The sequence below is a fragment of the Homo sapiens genome, chromosome 1, assembly GCF_000001405.40.
Source record: "Homo sapiens chromosome 1, GRCh38.p14 Primary Assembly".
Lineage (NCBI taxonomy): Eukaryota > Metazoa > Chordata > Mammalia > Primates > Hominidae > Homo > Homo sapiens.
In genome coordinates, this window is record NC_000001.11 from 4,694,671 (window position 1) to 4,711,749 (window position 17,079).

The 17,079-nt window shown below is 53.5% G+C and overlaps 1 protein-coding gene across 3 annotated transcripts in view, besides 7 other annotated features; it reads left to right on the plus strand.

The window, feature by feature from the left end:
- Positions 1 to 17,079, plus strand: part of AJAP1 (adherens junctions associated protein 1) — a 137,926-nt gene that overhangs the window by 40,062 nt on the left and 80,785 nt on the right. The gene's annotated exons all lie outside the window — the stretch shown is intronic.
- Positions 6,858 to 7,774: an enhancer, noted in NCBI's record as "H3K27ac-H3K4me1 hESC enhancer chr1:4761588-4762504 (GRCh37/hg19 assembly coordinates)". NCBI's record gives its function as "activates a minimal SCP1, AML or CMV promoter by ChIP-STARR-seq in primed H9 embryonic stem cells {active_cell/tissue: H9 hESC(primed)}" and the evidence as "EXISTENCE:reporter gene assay evidence [ECO:0000049][PMID:30033119]".
- Positions 7,775 to 8,689: an enhancer, noted in NCBI's record as "H3K27ac-H3K4me1 hESC enhancer chr1:4762505-4763419 (GRCh37/hg19 assembly coordinates)". NCBI's record gives its function as "activates a minimal SCP1, AML or CMV promoter by ChIP-STARR-seq in primed H9 embryonic stem cells {active_cell/tissue: H9 hESC(primed)}" and the evidence as "EXISTENCE:reporter gene assay evidence [ECO:0000049][PMID:30033119]".
- Positions 8,730 to 9,241: an enhancer, noted in NCBI's record as "H3K4me1 hESC enhancer chr1:4763460-4763971 (GRCh37/hg19 assembly coordinates)". NCBI's record gives its function as "activates a minimal SCP1, AML or CMV promoter by ChIP-STARR-seq in primed H9 embryonic stem cells {active_cell/tissue: H9 hESC(primed)}" and the evidence as "EXISTENCE:reporter gene assay evidence [ECO:0000049][PMID:30033119]".
- Positions 11,283 to 11,477: a silencer, noted in NCBI's record as "fragment chr1:4766013-4766207 (GRCh37/hg19 assembly coordinates)". NCBI's record gives its function as "represses an EF-1alpha promoter that drives an FKBP-Casp9 reporter gene in an ReSE screen in K562 erythroleukemia cells {active_cell/tissue: K562}" and the evidence as "EXISTENCE:reporter gene assay evidence [ECO:0000049][PMID:32094911]".
- Positions 14,339 to 15,251: an enhancer, noted in NCBI's record as "H3K4me1 hESC enhancer chr1:4769069-4769981 (GRCh37/hg19 assembly coordinates)". NCBI's record gives its function as "activates a minimal SCP1, AML or CMV promoter by ChIP-STARR-seq in primed H9 embryonic stem cells {active_cell/tissue: H9 hESC(primed)}" and the evidence as "EXISTENCE:reporter gene assay evidence [ECO:0000049][PMID:30033119]".
- Positions 15,702 to 16,320: an enhancer, noted in NCBI's record as "H3K4me1 hESC enhancer chr1:4770432-4771050 (GRCh37/hg19 assembly coordinates)". NCBI's record gives its function as "activates a minimal SCP1, AML or CMV promoter by ChIP-STARR-seq in naive and primed H9 embryonic stem cells {active_cell/tissue: H9 hESC(naive and primed)}" and the evidence as "EXISTENCE:reporter gene assay evidence [ECO:0000049][PMID:30033119]".
- Positions 16,321 to 16,937: an enhancer, noted in NCBI's record as "H3K4me1 hESC enhancer chr1:4771051-4771667 (GRCh37/hg19 assembly coordinates)". NCBI's record gives its function as "activates a minimal SCP1, AML or CMV promoter by ChIP-STARR-seq in naive and primed H9 embryonic stem cells {active_cell/tissue: H9 hESC(naive and primed)}" and the evidence as "EXISTENCE:reporter gene assay evidence [ECO:0000049][PMID:30033119]".

The window sequence follows — 17,079 nt, forward strand, 5'->3', positions numbered from 1 at the left end:
AGATAATGCTCAGCTGGGGTGAAGGATGAGAAGTGCTGGTGCCCCATGTGGCTGCAGAGAGCAGGTGCGCAGCTGGGGGTGGGACCTACAGCCAGCAGGTACCCGGGGAGCCGAGCATGGGTAGGGGCAGCCCTGGGAGCTTTAGGTTGTGAGCACAGTGGAAGCGAACAGAGGAGGCTGTGCAGGAAGGGAGGTCATGGTCAGGTTAGCCTCAGTATTGCTTTGGCAGCTGAGTGGACGGACACTGGATTATGGGGAGCCAGGATGGAAGCTGGAGGAGGGTCGGAGAAGGCCAGGAGTCAGATGGGACCATGGCTTGAGAAGGTGGTGGGGAGAGGAGTGGACGGACCCAAGGCTCTACACTGGGGGTACTTTGGCCGCCAGGGGACCTGTGGCCATGTCTGGAACATTTTTGGTTGTCACAACTTGGGAGAGGGTGCTGTGGGCATTGTGTGGATGGAGGCAGGGATGCTACCCTCCCTACAGGGAGTGGCCATGTAGGGACTGAGAGAGAGCTCCTGCAGGAGGGAGGATGGGCAGGGCCTATGAGCAAGTATTTTGGGACCATGAGGAAAGGGTGGGCTGCGATGGCTGGAGGCTTCCTGCTGCACTCCGTGGTGAGTGGTGGTGGCATTTGGGCACCTTGGTGAGCACACTGTGTAGAAGTGGTCAAAGGTTTTGCGGGGCCCATGCTGAGTTTCCACTGTGAGCTGCCCATGAGGGTCAGGAGGCCAACGGCTGGCCAGGCAAGGTGAGACCAAGGTGGGCCCGTGCTTGTGAGTGTTCCCTGCAAACACAGTACCTCGAGCCATGAGGCTCCAGGGGAGAGTGGAGATGGAGAGTGGGAACAGGTGCAGATTCAGGCTGGCCTGGCTGCTGTGAGAAAGTACCACAGACTGAGTGGTTTAAAGAAGAGAAATGTGTTTCCTCGTAGTTTCGAAGGTGGAAGTCCAGAATCAAGGTGTCTGCAGGGCTGGTTCCTGCTGAGGCCGCTCCTGGGCCTGTAGATGCTGCCTTTCCCCTGTATCTTCACATGGTCTTGGCTCTGTGTGTCTGTTCTCATCTCTTCTTTTAAGTCCCTATTGGATTAGGGCCCACCCTAATACCCTCGTATTCACTTAATTACCTCTGTAAAGACCCTTTCTCCGAATGCAGTCACACCAAGGTCTAGAGCTTCCACATATGAACTTGAGGAGACCCAAGTCGGCCCCTAACAGAGCCTCAGGGAGACAGGAGCGTGATCCTGTGGGATGACATTGCTGCACCCATTCTCAGTTCTCTCGTACTGGGGGGTTCATCAATACCTCCATGGCCATTTGTGTCTGGGGGGAGAACTTTCTAGATAATCACAGTAAACCCTGTCCTGAGTGGAGAATTGTGTGTGTCTGAAACCCATCTCTCCTTGGAAGCAGCCAGCAGGTGGTCAGGGAATGGCTCCTATAAAAAGCCAACCAGAACTTGAGACGCAGGGGTTTTGGGTTGAGGGGGGGAGCAGGGAGGCTCCCTGGCCCAGGCAGTGCTGGCTCCTGGTCATTCAGAAATGTAGGCTTTCCCAGGAAACTGTTTTTTCCCCCTTCAAGTCACAGCCACTGCTCAGAAGCACCAGGGCTTGCTGGAAAGGCTGCGACACATGCCAGACATTTTAACAGGTGTCAGGACAAGTGTCCTCCTGACACCTTCTCAGGAACAGCTTCCGGATGCGATGATCTCATTAGGGGGAGTTGGAAGTTCCAGCCCTAGGGGAGCCCTGTCCCTGGGCTGCCTGGCTGCCCTGGCTATGCTGTGTCCCTTTGGGAAGGAATTACCCAACCTACAGTGCTTCATCCCCATGCTGACGGGCAGCCGCCAGGGCAGCTGTATGCCGGGCTGCATCTGCTCTAGACACTCCACTTGGGAACCCAGGGAGACGGCTTATGCCCGGGGGGTGGCCAAGGCGGTGGGATTTCACAGCCAGGCTGCAGAGGGAACCTTGCAAGGACTTGGAAACCGCAGCCAGTGATTGTTGTGTGTGCATGTGCATCTGTGTACTGGCTGTGCCTGCATGGTGTGTTTGTGTGTGCACGCACCTGCGTTCTGTGTGTGCATATGACTGTGTGTGCATTCAGGCATATTCTGTGTGCATGTGTGTCTCTGCATGTGCACATGTGCATGTGTATATGTGTGCATGTTTTCTCTGTATGCACACAAGATGTGTTTGTGTGTATGCACCTGTGTTCCATGTGTGCATATGACTGTGTACATGCATGCATGTTCTGTGTGCGTGTGTGTCTCTGCATGTTCTGTGTGTATGTGTGTCTCTGTATGTGCACATGTGCATGTGTGTATGTGTGCATGCTTTCTCTACGCACACATGGTGTGTGTGTGTGCACCTGTGTTTGTGTGTGTATGTTAGTTTGTGCATGTGTGTCTATGTGCCTGTGTTTTCTGTATATGCATGTATCACTCAGGTTGCATGTACAGATGTGTGGCTGTATTCTGTGTGTGCATGCCTGACTGTATTAGTTTGTATGTGGCTGTATGTGTGCACCTGTGTTCTGTGCATGCCTGCATTTGTGTGTCTGTGTGTGTGCATTATGCACATGTGACCTGTATATGTGAGTGTGGCACAGGATTAGATTCGTCCTGGGTGCCCACAGCACAGGGCTGGCAATGGGAGTGGAGGAGAAATCAAAGGAAGCCATTTGTGGCTTCGCACAAGGAATGCTTTTCCAACAGAGGCCCTGGCCAGCATTTTTCAGTGGTTACTGTAGGTAATGAGTTCCCTGTCATGGTTTGTGTTCAAACAGAGGCTGGGAAAATGCTGATGGTGGCTGGTACTATAGTGACATCACCTCAGGACAACTCTTCCCAGTCCTCTTCTACTTCTGAGTGACCATGGCTGGACTTGCTCCCCTTCCTCTGTGCAGTTTCAAGGTGGGCACGTGAGTCCCACAGGCTGGTGCCAGGTCCATGTGGTGGCACCTACTAGCTAGTGACCTTGGGCAGGTGCGCCACCATCTCCAAAACGCCAGCCCCTCATGGGTAACATGGGGAGAGTAGCGTGTCTGTCCCTGAGGGTGTGCACACGTCTAACAAGATGGTCCCAGGACGACCTGGACAGGAGCTGAGCCGTGGCACAGCCACCTCAGCAAAGGCAGGGCCAAGATGCAGCGGCCACTAATGGGCTGGATCTGGACCTGCCTGGTCCTGGGCCTGTCCTCAGGGCAGCGTTCCAGTGGCCGGAGGAGAAGCAAGAGCCAAGGGGACCGCTAAGTCCGCGTTCTGTGCTCTTTTCCTCCAGCCAGCTTCACTCTGCACCAGCGTGGGGTGGTGGCGGGCAGCCGGCAGGAGATTAAGCTGTGCAGTCATCGCGGCATCTCCTGTGAGGCAGCAGAGCCTCGCTTCTTTTCATTTCCTCTCCTGATGAGAAAATGGGAACTTTCTATAGCTGAAGATGAGACAGAACCACGGCCTCCGTTGAGTGATTTACACGGATGATCTCACCTCTGGCCGTGCCAGCGTGTTTCCCCGTCACTATGTTCTTTGCTCGTCACCATGAATGTGGAATACTAGATGGGCCGCTAAGGGGCCTGAGGCCGGAGGACATGTTGCCCCCACGCCGCTGTCCCCTGAGAGCCTCTAGGGCTGTGCTTATTCTCAGGAGCCACATGCTCCCTGGAGGCCACCAAATGAGTCTTCATCTCACAGACCTTGGTCCCCTGCAAAGGCGTCATTTACATTCAGATATAAAGGACTGGGGATGGTGATGTTCACAGCAGGATATGGAGAAGGCTGTTTGAGGACTTCTGAGGTCTCCACATCACCTTAGGTGGGCTGTTGTACCTACCTTCAGCTGTGTGAGGCCAGGCCGGCCTTCCCCCTCCCGCCGAAATCCAGTGATCACAGACTCAGAAGAACCTTCAAGGTCATTGGCCCTCTCCCACCCTCAGTCAACCACAGGGCCTCCTCCCCTGGCCACCTGAGGAGTGGTCATCCTTCCTCGGTGTGACCGTCACACATGTGGGTGCCTCCCAGGAAACTCTGAGCTGCTCTAGCTCCTTCTGTAATTTCAGTTCTTTTATAAGGCCCACCCCTGGCCATGGCTCTGAGTTCTGAAACTCCTGATTCTGTCCTCCTCACTGTGTGCCCTCCGATGTGCCAGAACTCAAGGTGCCTTAGCCACACTGAGCCCCTCTCAGTGGTGCCCCTGGAATGGAAGCCCTTGGCTGCAGCTTGTACTAAGGATGGTCCAGCGGGGAGTGGCTTGGGCAGGGTTGCAGGCAGCTAAGGGGTCCTAGGTCCTGGCCTCTGCCTTGCTCCTGGTTCCCCGGTGCACCTGCAGCTGTGTACCCCCTCCATCACAGGGCACACTGCTGCCCTGGGGGCGTGGCCTCCTGTCGCCAGAGTCCAGAACCTCCTTCTCACTCCTAACAAGGGTAGCATCTGGTCATTGTCACACCCACCCTGGGGCCCAGTGAGGTGAAGGGGCTCGCCCCAGGGTGCGTGGTGAGTGGGCCCGCTGGGAAGCTGATGCTCTGCCCAAACCCACCTGACCCCAAGCTGCTTCTTGACCATCTTGCTCTCCTGGCCCCACGCTGCACCCTGCCCACCTCCACCAATGCCATTCTTTTCCTCTCTTCAAATTCTAGAAACCCACGGAACAGCCACGTACTTGTTTCCAGAGGCAGAGCCTTTGCTGTTCTCCTCCCATCCTTGGTTGGCTTCAAAAGCGCCTGGCATGCATACCGAGTTTCGTAAATACCAACATAACAATTGCAACGAAACCAAAATAGATATTTCCTATGAAGACAGAGGGGCTGCAGTGAGTGTTTTGGAAGCTGGCGATAACCTGACATTTATTCCTCTCAGTTCCCTTTTCAGGGACAAGACCATCAAGAATGAGCTATAGCGCTGTCACCGGGAAACAGTGTGGGTGATCTGTGGAATGCTCTCTGTGAGGAATGCATTTTCCCAATGTAGGAGAGATGATGGAGCTGTCTTGAAAATCTGAAGCCTTTGGAGGGACACATCCTTCCTAGAACCAACATCTCCCTGCAGCCGAAAACTTCCCTCCCTGAGCCCCACCTTCTTTGAGTTGTATTTTTAAGAGACTTCATTCCAGAGAAAGACACAGCTACTATTTCTGTGTTTTTCCTTCTTCTGCAAGAGGAGAGTCAATGCCAACTCTTCCCCTAGGGTTACTGTGAGAACGGCATGAGACAATTCCTGTGAGATGCTTAGCTCACTGCCTGGTATGTAGCTGTGGCTGAATCCCTGTGGGGTATTATTTTAGTATCCTACGCCGTCTTTTTCTCTCTGCGTGCCGTCCTCTTCAGTTTGGTTTTCTCTAGTTAAATATGCATCTGTGTGATGGTGCTTGTGTCTTTGCACGATTGCGTAGAGCTCTCCCCTGAGCGTCTTCCTGGCCTGGCAGCTCTGGCTGAGGCCCCGAGCTCCGGAAGGGGCCATGTCACGTGGTGCCAGGGCAGCTGTGTGCTCCTGATACACCTCCTTCTTTGCTGTTGAAGAGCCCTCATCACCGGGCCAGCCTGTGGCACCCTTCTTGCCCACCACCCACATGCTGTATCTCGGGTTGAAATGGCCATAAAGTAGGATCAAACCAGGTTTGAGGGAGGCCCTGGGGACACTCCTCAGCTCTTAACCCGGGATGTACCCTGGGGTCTTCCACAACATACCGATGCTGGGCCTCGCCCCCACAGGCGCCCATGAGTGGATCTGCCTGAGGCCTGGGCCTCAGCATTTTCTGAACTCCCTCCTCCCCCACCCCAGAGGATCCTCATGTGAGGCCCAGGCTGAGAACCTCTCCTTGGCTTTGCACAATAGACCTTGCCCTCCCAGAGCTCTTCTGAGCCACTTCCCTTTGAGCTGACCCCCAGGGGATGAGGTTCCCAGCCAGTGAGTTCTGATCCTGCCCCATTCGCGTCTTTTGCCAGTCTGTCCCTTTGCTCAGGGGGAGATGGAGAGGAGCTAGGGCTTGGCGCTGGGATGGGGTAGCTCGTGCTGGGGGCCCAGTCTGGGAACTTTGTCCGCACACGCAGGGGAAGCACAGGAGGTGGCCTGGGGTACTTGGCTAGGCTGCCCAGCAGCCGAGGCTGCACTGCTCACATCCTGAGTGCTGCCCAGAGAGCACAGATGTGATGGAGGAGCAGGCTGAACCAAGGGGACCTGTGGGGCCCTTCGTGGGGCAGCTGGTCTGGACTGGCCTCCCCTCTGTCTTCCTGTGGAATTGTCCTGCAGGAGGGACAGGGGAGCGGGGCCCAGCAGCAGAGGCTCAGCTAAGACACAGAGCCAGGTTTCCCCTCCCAGGGACTGAGAACACTGCCACCCACCGTCCTGCCCACACACTGCTTGTCACCACTTCACTCCTCCAGAATGCTCGCGGGCACGTTGCCCAGGCAACCAGAACGCCAGCGCCGTTGCTATCCTTCAGTCTCCTCCAAGCACCTGCGAAGGCTGTCGAGCAACATCCCCCGTGCCCCAAAGTTGCTGCAGACTCCGTGCTCCAGAGCTCCTGGGGAAAGGGGATGGGAGTGGAGGAGTGCTGGGTGCTCCCGTGAGCAGTCACAAAGAACCAGGCTTAAAATATGCACCGTCTAGTCTCCCGCACACCCCTGCCACTCGGTGGCAGGTGTACAGGTGGGAAAACTGAAGCATAGGTTGGTTACACGGGTTAGTTTTGCTTACGCAGCTGGCGGGTTGCAGTGCCAAGCACCAAAGCCGTCTCATGTCACCCCCACGCCATGCTGTTTTGGGAGCAGCTGTAGGTCAGCCATGGAGAGCTGCATGGCCTGCAAGCCTCTTTCCTCTTGGAGATGAGACCATCGTTCCTCCCTTACTGGGACTGGGAGGAGCAAGTGGTGCCCGTGCCATCAGGTTTCCCAGCCTCGGCCCTCTGGTCTTTTGTGGTGGAGTCTGTCTACACTGCAGGATGTGTTGAAGCATCCCTGGCTTCTGTCACTAAATGCCAGTAGCAAACCTGAATAGTGACAACCAAATATGTCTCCAGATATTGCCAAATGTCCCCTGAGGGGCAAAATCACCCTTAGATGAGAACTGGTGATGTGTCTAAATGGTCTGTGGTACCACAGGATGCCGTTTTTACCATCTTCTGCAAGGAGGGGCCACGTGGTTCACGGAGGCCTGATGTGCCGCTGGGCTGTGATGCTGCGTAGATGCAGGGTGGCACCTGCCAGGCGCAAGGTGTGCCCCATGTCCCTCCCCACAGGGCACAGCCACCTTCACCTCCCTTCCCTTTCCTCCCCCAACACCCCGCCATGCACAGCCATTCATAGATTGCCCAGGAAGTAGTCCCTGAAATTACAGGTCACAGGAGTTACTGATTTTGCCCTAGTTTTCTAGTATATCCTCAGTGTTCTGACATGTCCTCAGTGTTCTAACGTGTCCCCAGTGTTCTCATGTGTCCCCAGTATTCTAACGTGTCCCCAGTATTCCAACGTGTCCCCAGTGTTCTCATGTGTCCCCAGTATTCTAACATGTCCCCAATATTCCAGCGTGTCCCCAGTGTTCTAATGTGTCCCTGCTCCTACAGCTGCAGGGTTGTTGGGACCTCGTTCCTGAGCAGAGATCTCAGGTTCCCTGAGGCCTAGACTCTGAGTCCTGATCAGAGGCCAGCTCACTGTGACTTGAATCAGGCCACTCCATTTTGGGGTCTCACACTGGCATCATTCAGGTTTGGGTTAAGATTAGTGCTTTGTCACGTATGGCCTGCAAAGTACCGATCCACCGGTTCCCAAGATGTTCTGTGGAAAGGAGGTCAGTTAGAGAGTTTGGCTTTGCTTACTTAGCTCACTGCTTTGCCCAAGGGCTTGACCGTGGAACCCTTCGTGAAGGTTCACAACCCTTCCTGGGGTCCCAGGCATTATCAGCTTAAGGAAAATGCCTTGGAGTGGACTGGGCCAGACCGCTGTCATGGTCCCTTCCGTCTGGGGCGTCCTGGGGCTCCCGGTGAGGCCAGCGGGTGAGTTGCAGGGAGTGCTCCTCCCTGTAAGTGTGGCCCTTGGTGTGCTGGGGCAGGGAGGAGGCGATTTTGGCTCATGAGAGGAGCCTCCGCTGGGTACTCTCCTCTACACTATCCCGGGACCACCCCAGGTTCTGGGCCGCCTCCCAGAGCTGTCTGGGGAAGCTTCGTGGGCCTTGACCTCAGAGCAGGAGCTAGACCTGCTGTCCTGGGGATGGGGCATTGGGAGGCAAGCCCCCAGACAACCAGGGCTGATTTCCAAGCTCTGGGGGAGGAGAGTAGCCAGAGATTCCGCGATGGGATTCAGAAAGCCTTCTTGTGTTCTGGAGGTTTCTGTCCGACCCAAATGAGTCATCTTTACGCTACTGCTTCTCCGTGAGTCAAGTATCGCATGCGCGCTGGACGTGTCCGGGCCTGTGATGATGAAAGCCCCTAGGCACCCTGGAGCTCCCTTCCAAAAGGGAGGGATGTTTTCAATCATATTAAATCAAGAGGTAGAGCGCGGAGTGGCTCTGACAGGACATTACAATGACATCAGGCTGGGAATGCCGCGAAAGTGATTCACGGCTTAATGTGTTTTCATTAGAGAAATTGAACCAGGGACTGCAGAAGAAAGTGGGTGTTCCCTTCCTGCGCCAGGGCTGGGGACTGAGACTGGGGGATGGCCATGTCCCCTGAGTAGAGGGGGTTGGCCTCTGCTCTGAAATTTAGTGGGAAGCCATCTGCACCGTCCTGGTGGTGACTCGGGGGGACACAGAGCGAGCCTGCTCTTGAGTTGGGGGAGTCAGAGGTTCTTCTGTGAAGGGGAAAGGGATGGAAGTCTATCTGCTTTGGGAGACACTTTCCCTTTCTCTCAAGGGCAGAACCACCAGGGAACTTGGAATTAGAGGAGAGTTTAGGGATAACGAGGCCATTTTCACATCTGAGCTGAAATCTCGCATCCCACCTAACATCAAATTTCTCTTCCTGGTGGAACTCACATCTTATCAGCGAGCGGGAGGTTAGGATGCTGAGAAAGAGGCCCAAGGTACTTGAAGTTTTATCCTATCCAAAGATCAGGGGTTGGGTATGGCCAACACAGAACCCCAGTCACAGAGGGCTTGCCACCAGCTCCGGGGGACCCTGAGCCCACGCCCTTTGATCTCTTGTCTTTGCAAAGAGCAGAATATGCTGCCACATTCCAGGAGAAGATACATCTGAATGTCCCTGAGAACAAATCTCCAAGAAGGCTCCCCACTGCCTCCCCGAGCTCCCTGGGCTAGGAATGCCTGGCAGTGCAGGCTGTCTGCCCTCCGGATGGAGCCCGGGCAGCCTAGGGCCCTCTACCCTGCTTCTCCCCACAACGCCCTGTATGTTTCCAAAGCCCAGAAATGTTTGGAACATTGAAGGTAGGGGTTAAGCAAAGGAAAAATAGTGCCCTGTTCCCCATCCACTGTATTGTGGATAATTACCCCCTTACACTAGCCAGTCCTGCTCCCTCCTGTCTGTTCCAGCTGCCAAACGGGGAAGTTTTTTTTTTTTTTTATACTTTAAGTTTTAGGGTACATGTGCACAATGTGCAGGTTAGTTACATATGTATACATGTGCCATGCTGGTGTGCTGCACCCATTAACTCATCATTTAGCATTAGGTATATCTCCAAATGCTATCCTTCCCCCCTCCCCCCACCCCACAACGGTGCCCAGAGTGTGATGTTCCCCTTCCTGTGTCCATGTGTTCTCATTGTTCAATTCCCACCTATGAGTGAGAACATGCGGTGTTTGGTTTTTTGTCCTTGCGATAGTTACTGAGAATGATGATTTCCAATTTCATCCATGTCCTTACAAAGGACATGAACTCATCATTTTTTATGGCTGCATAGTATTCCATGGTGTATATGTGCCACATTTTCTTAATCTGGTCTATCATTGTTGGACATTTGGGTTAGTTCCAAGTCTTTGCTATTGTGAATAGTGCCACAATAAACATACGTGTGCATGTGTCTTTATAGCAGCATGATTTATAGTCCTTTGGGTATATACCCAGTCATGGGATGGCTGGGTCAAATGGTATTTCTAGTTCTAGATCCCTGAGGAATCACCACACTGACTTCCACGATGGTTAAACTAGTTTACAGTCCCACCAACAGTGTAAAAGTGTTCCTATTTCTCCACATCCTCTCCAGCACCTGTTGTTTCCTGACTTTTTAATGATCGCCATTCTAACTGGTGTGAGATGGTATCTCATTGTGGTTTTGATTTGCATTTCTCTGATGGCCAATGATGGTGAGCATTTGTTCATGTGTTTTTTGGCTGCATAGATGTCTTCTTTTGAGAAGTGTCTGTTCATGTCCTTCACCCACTTTTTGATGGGGTTGTTTGTTTTTTTCTTGTAAATTTGTTTGAGTTCATTGTAGATTCTGGATATTAGCCCTTTGTCAGATAAGTAGGTTGCGAAAATTTTCTCCCATTTTGTAGGTTGCCTGTTCACTCTGATGGTAGTTTCTTTTGCTGTGCAGAAGCTCTTTAGTTTAAGTAGATCCCATTTGCTAGCCATATGTAGAAAGCTGAAACTGGATCCCTTCCTTACACCTTATACAAAAATTAATTCAAGATGGATTAAAGACTTAAACGTTAGACCTAAAACCGTAAAAACCCTATAAGAAAACCTAGGCATTACCATTCAGGACATAGGCATGGGCAAGGACTTCATGTCTAAAACACCAAAAGCAATGGCAACAAAAGCCAAATGGGGAAGTTTTGAAGAGCTTTTTTTTTTTTTTTTTTTTTTTTTTTTTTTTTTAATGAGTACTCCTCCCCCTCCAAGAATGTGCATTGTGCTTAGTGACCTGCTTCCAAAGATTCTGGAAAGGAGCAGGACTGCCTTCCCAGTGACAGCACTGGGCAAACGTCCCTGGCAAATGCTATTCAAGGTCAGCTTCAGCAGGGAGGGGTCCTGTTGAGAGCAGGTGCCCTGGGTACCCTGTATGAGGCAGATACTTCCTCTCTGTGGGCATCCCCCAAAACACAGAAGGCCGGTCTCATCACGGGACACACTTCAGACCAATCAATCAATGAAGAGGAGCATTCTATGCAATCCCTGACCAGTCCTCCTTAGAACATCAAGGTCATCAGCCACAGAGAAAGCCTGAGAAACCATCACAGCCAAGAGGAGCCAAACGAGACACAACCATTTGATGCCACGTGGTATTCTGGATGGGTTCCTGGGACTGAAAACGGACGCTAAGCTAAGTGCAAACTGGAGAAGTCCAAGCCACGTGTGTAGTTCCTGGTTATGCACCATGACGCTGTGGCATGGTGACCTACGGTATCCCTTGAGGGGAAACTGGAGATGAGTTCCCAGCAACTCTCTGGGCTCTTTTGGAATTTTTTGGAATGTCTTAAACTATTCTAAAATAAAAAGCTTTTTTGAAGCAAACCAATAGAAGTAGGGTGGAAGTCAGGAAGCATCTGGACACGGGTCATTGGGGACCGAGGGGTAGACCCTGGGTCCTCGGGGAAGGGAGGTCCACTTCCTGGGTGGGGCCTTCCACAAAAGAGCATGGACTCACAAAAAGCCAACGGCACTGCTGTGTCATAGAACAAATATGTCTGTGTCTATTCTTTCTGCTTCCTGGAGATTGTTTCTAGCGGTGCCCTGTGAACTATTGATCGTAGAAGCACGGGTCTTCTTCAACGAGGAGGCGGAGACCTCAGAGCCCACCTGCCCCAACTTACTGGTATGAATGACAGAAAAACTGGGGCTTGCAGAGTGGGAAGCTACAAGCCCATGCCAAGCTAACTTCCCCATCAAATGCAGCATCCTTCTCCTGGGCCCCAGAGCCAGTAAACGACAGGACCTGGAGGAGTCACGGGAAGTGGGTGTCTTCGTGGAACGGCTGGGGTGGATTGGCCACAGGCACAGCTCCAAGGTCCTGTCCCACCCTGAAGATTCTGGGCTGTTCCCCGGTGGAACAATTCCAGGGCCTGGCCTGCTTCTCACTGCACCAGTGCTCCCACAAGGCAGACACCAGCTGCTCCCAGGAGGCTCACGCCGCACACTCCCGGCTCGGGGAAAGGTGCAACTTTAAGTGGAAGAGATGTCTTTGGCCCCTTAATTGACAGTGATTTTCTTCTGTGAAGAAAATATACAGAAGGTAGTGAATTGAATCTCAATTCACCAAATCTTATTAAACTGTTCTTCGGGAAAAAAGATTTCAATAAAAATTTAAAAGGAAGAGAAGCAAGAAAGCCACAAACTAGAAAATAAAGTGAGACGGAGCAGTTGTTCCCCATTTGGAAGCAGCTGGGGAGCAGGGGGTGGTGGCAAGGAGTTTATTCTTTCTTTGAAAATCATGGGCTCGAGGCTGCTGAGAGGGAGCTGTCCCTGCCTCTTCTCAAAGGGTGTGGATGTGGTCCTCAGGTGCTCAGGCAGGGACCCTGTCTCACGTTCAGGGTGTCCCAGTGAGGACTGGGTGGATGAACCCAAAGTCTCCATGGCTTCCTCCTGCCCATGTGCCTGCAGCTCTGGGGGCCGCTCTGCCTTCCACCCATCCGCCAGGGCCAGGATTAGGGTGCCACGCCATGCACTCCACATTGTCCCCACAACCCTTGCACACACCCCATTCTCTAGCATGTTCCTTTTGATTTGTATTGGGATATACATTGCACAAAACTCACCTATTACAAATGTACAGTTTAGTGGGTTTTGTATAGGCATAGAGTTGTGCAGCTACCCCCACACACAATTCCAGAATATTTCGTCACCCCATAAAGAAACCCCCTACCCCATTACCCCTTCCCCAAGCCTTGGGCAATTGCTCATCTTTCTGTCTCTGTGGATTTGGTCACTCTGTGCATTTCCTATAAACGGAACCGGGCACCGTGTAGCCTTGAGTGCCTGGCTTCTTTCCCTGCTCAGGGTTTTCAAGGTGCTTCCACATTGTAGCATAGATCAAGTAATCCTGCCTTCCTTTTAAAGGCTGAACGATACTCCATTGTAACATTATGCCAGATCCCCTTTATCCATTCCTCAGCTGACGGGCACGTGAGCTGAGTCAGCTTTGACTGTTGTGAGTTGTGAGTGTGGCCCTGGGCCTCCCAGTGCAGGTTTTCATGTGGACAGATGTCTGTGCCTAAGAGAGGGGCAGCAGGGTCCCTGGAACTCTGTCTTTAGGGTTCCAAGGAATTGCCAAACTGTTTTGCCCAGAGGCATTCTGGTTTTCATTCCCACCAACAGCATACTAGGTCTCTCATCTCCTCGTGTCCTCGCCAGCACTTCATGTTCTCTGTCTTTCTGCTTGTAGCTCTCTCTGTGGGTGTGATGTGGGCGGTACGTTTTTTTTTTGTTTTTTTTTTTTGAGACGCAGTCTCACTCCATCTCCAGCCTGGAGTGCAGTGGCATGATCTCGGCTCACTGCAACCTCCGCCTCCTGGGTTCAAGCGATTCTCCTGCCTCAGCCTCCCGAGTAGCTGGGACTACAGGTGTACGCCACCACACCTGGCTAATTTTTGTATTTTTAGTAGAGACAGGGTTTCACCATGTTGTGCAGGATGGTCTCGATCCCTTGACCTCGTGATCCTCCCACCTCGGCCTCCCAAAGTGCTGGGATTACAGGCGTGAGCCACCATGTCTGGCCGGGCGGTATGTTCTTAAGGGGCCTGTGGATGCTTGAGTTTCAGGGGAGCTGGTGCCACTTCTGCCTGCCCCACAGCCTCGCCTCCTGATGGTTGGTGCTGTGGTCGGCAGCCATGCCACAGGGCCTGCCTCCAGAGGAGGTGTGGGGTCGCCTGCCATCTTGGTGCATGTCTGACAGTGCCATGGATGCCCTATGGGGTGAGGCCCTCCCGAAATCTGTTCATCATGAAATGAGAGGTGCTCAGGGCCAAGCCCCAGGCTGAGCAGGATCAGTGAGAAGAGTATTCCCAGGCTCTGCCTCATCTCAGAGCCGCCCAAGGGATGAGGACAGAGATTGTTTGTACTGCTCACTGGTCCTTGGAGATAGAGCCAAGTCCTCCTGCTGCAGAGATGCAGCCTCTCACCAAGGGGTCCCCAAGAGTCTCAGGACCAGGTCCGGGCAGCACACCAAGCTCAGCCGTCTTGGTGGCAATGCAGAGCCTGGGGCCCTTGGCCTTGCACAGAAATGAGCAGTGGCCCCTACACGTCTTCCTATGGGAGGGGCTTTCCCCCTGCCCCCCACATTTCTTGGCTGCTGGGAGTGGGCTGGGGCCTCTGTCCTGGTTGCCCACCTGCCCTCTTTTTTTTCCTCTCTGAACAAATCAATCACTTTAAAAAGGAAGAAACCAGACTTGAAGAGGAAAAACAAATCGACCTCTCCCTGCCACTGTTGCAATTGGTTGGTTTTTCTGCATAACAGCTGGGTGTCTTAGAAATGAGGGGGTTTCTATAGTAACCAATTACAGCCATGATTGGTGAAAAATCACAGAAATATCCTGTGTGTGAAGTTATGCCAGCGAGGCAGGCACGGGCTTAGGTGCTATGGTTTTAATTTCCTGGGGCAATATTTCTCTAAGTACTGATGGCAGGCAGGTTTGCTTGTCATGGCTTTTGATTCAGCCTGCCTGGTGGGGGCTGGTGGGGGCTGGTGGGGCCTGGTGGGGGCCGGTGGGGCCTGATGGGGGCCGGTGGGGCCTGGTGGAGTGTAGTGGGGCCTGGTGAAGCCTGGTGGGGTCTAATCAGGGCCTGGTGGAGTATAGTGGGGACTGTTGGAGTCTGGTGCAGTCTGGTAAGGCCTGGTGAGCTTGGTGGAGTGTGGTGGGGCCTGGTGAGGCCTGGTGAGGTCTGGTGAGGCCTGGAAGACCATGGCAGAGTCTGGTGAGGCCTGGTGGAGCCTGAAGGGGCTTGGTGGGGCCTGGTGAGACCCTGCACCTGCTCAGAGCAGCATCTCATCTTCCTGGGGCTAGACTCCCACCCAGCTCTGCAGGTCATGGGAGAATTAGAGATTCTAAACCAGCTCCCATCCTCACTGGGTCACCTGCAGCCACAGAGGAGCTACCTTAGTGTGTATATGGGGGAATTTCACCCTAACCTAAATTCGTCCTTGTGGTGACAGTGGCCCTGGTCCCTGCCCCGAGCTTGGCTGCTAGTGCAGAGAAATTGCACACCAGCAGAAACACCGTGCTGAGGATTAGCATAATGTGGAGGTCCTCATTTCTGCAGCAAAGCACTTCTATTCTGATTGAAAAACTGAAGCCTTATTGTTTGGGGATTAGTCCTTTTTGGTAATTAGCACTCATTAGCAAGAGTTTCTCTCTCACCATCCTGATGACTGGGGGGCCATCTGTTCCCCAGATATCTGGGAGAGTCAGCACCAGACACAAGGGTCTCAGTACTGAACAGAGGGCGTGCCCCCAGGGATGCGTTCACACACAGCTACAACTAAACTCTCCTACACAGACACACACAGACACACTCACACATAGAGTCTCTCACACAGACACTCACAGATACACTCGCATGCTCACACAGGGACACACAGATACAGTTGCACACACAAATACACACACAGATACTCTCACACAGACACACTCACACAGGAACGCACAGATACACTCATACACACTGACACACACGAGCATAGATGCACTCACACACTTCTATGCTGACACACATGGACACAGTCACACAACAGTACACTCTCACACACGCACCAAATACACACAGACACCCTGGCCCTCACTCACGCACAGTCTCTCACACTCGTGGACACACCCCCAGATGCATCTTTACACTCATGTATGCTGGCTCACTCTCACACTGGCACACTCACACAGCTTGACCCACACGCACACACTCACACCCAGTCACACACGTACACACTCACATACGTGTGCTTGCCTACACGCACACACTCACACACTTGCGTGCACGCATTACAATGACACACACAGCTTCCTTCCTTTGTGAAGTCACTCACCGCCTTATAAAGAAAAACTCTACCCAACCTGCTTTCCAGGCCTGGCTTTGGGCGGCGTCAGGCTGGCGCTTGGCACCTGAACACCCTCGCGCCCCCCACCCGCTTCAGTCATTACAGTTTTGGGATTCATTTTAACTTTCAGACGTGAGGCTGGTGACGAGAACTGACTTTGAATGACACCTATAATCAGTCTTCAATTATCTGTGCTGGTGGAAGAGGGAGCGTGGGCCTGGCTCCTCTGAGCCCTTCCACGTGGCTCTCTGCCGCGCCCTGGTTTTCATGTGACACCAGAGAGTCCACTGGTCCAGAGGCGACCCCAGACCTGGTGACAAAGCCGCTCCATGTGAACTGGGGAGGGGCCGCCCCGCCAGCCCTGACTTCTCCCCTGCAGCCCCGCTGCGTGGAGAGGCAGCCCCGCCCTCCTCAGGGTTGCGCAGGATTTGCCCTTTCTGCAGCCCTCCGGGGAGCTGAGGAGGTGGATAACAGGGTTTCAAAGGGCACCGGCACTGCAGATAAACAGGGGGAGCGGAAATGTCAACAGAACAGACACTTCGCGTCAATAAACTTTAGGTTTATCCGGAGCAGATCTCATTTCCCTGAGTACGATCCAGAGGAGGCCAGAAGTAAGAAGCCTTCCCATGCAGAGCATTTAAAGCGATGCCTGTTTACGATATGCATGCCGGGCTCTGGGTGAGGGGCAGCGGGAGCGGCTGGTGTTTGCAAAGTGCAAGTGCCTGGCAGGTGTAGGTGCTGGGAAGCGCCTGCGCTCACGCTGCGAGGTTTCAAGCTTGAAACCTCCGCTCCTCCTAGACCTGGGGAGAGGCGCTTCCCCAGTGGGCGGGGGGTGGCCTGGGCTATGTAGAGGAAAGCGCCTGGCCCTGGGGTCCCAGGTGGAGGCCGGTGTCCGCTGCTGCCATCCTCTCACTTACGTCCTCTCGTCGTGTGATGGGCAAAAGGAAGGAGGGACTCACAGGTCTTTTCAGGTTATCTTGTCGAGGCTGCCCTGAAAGGCTGGGGGTTTCTGAGGCTCGGTTTTCGCTCGCGTGAAATGGACTATTCGGCGACCGGCCGGCTCTGTGCCTGGCAGGCGCCTCAGCCCCGCGGTGCCGGGAAGCAGCTCCCCGCACCCTCGCAGCGCGCGCTGTTCTTGCACGTGAGTGAGCCTTTGAAGGAAAGGAAGGAAGGG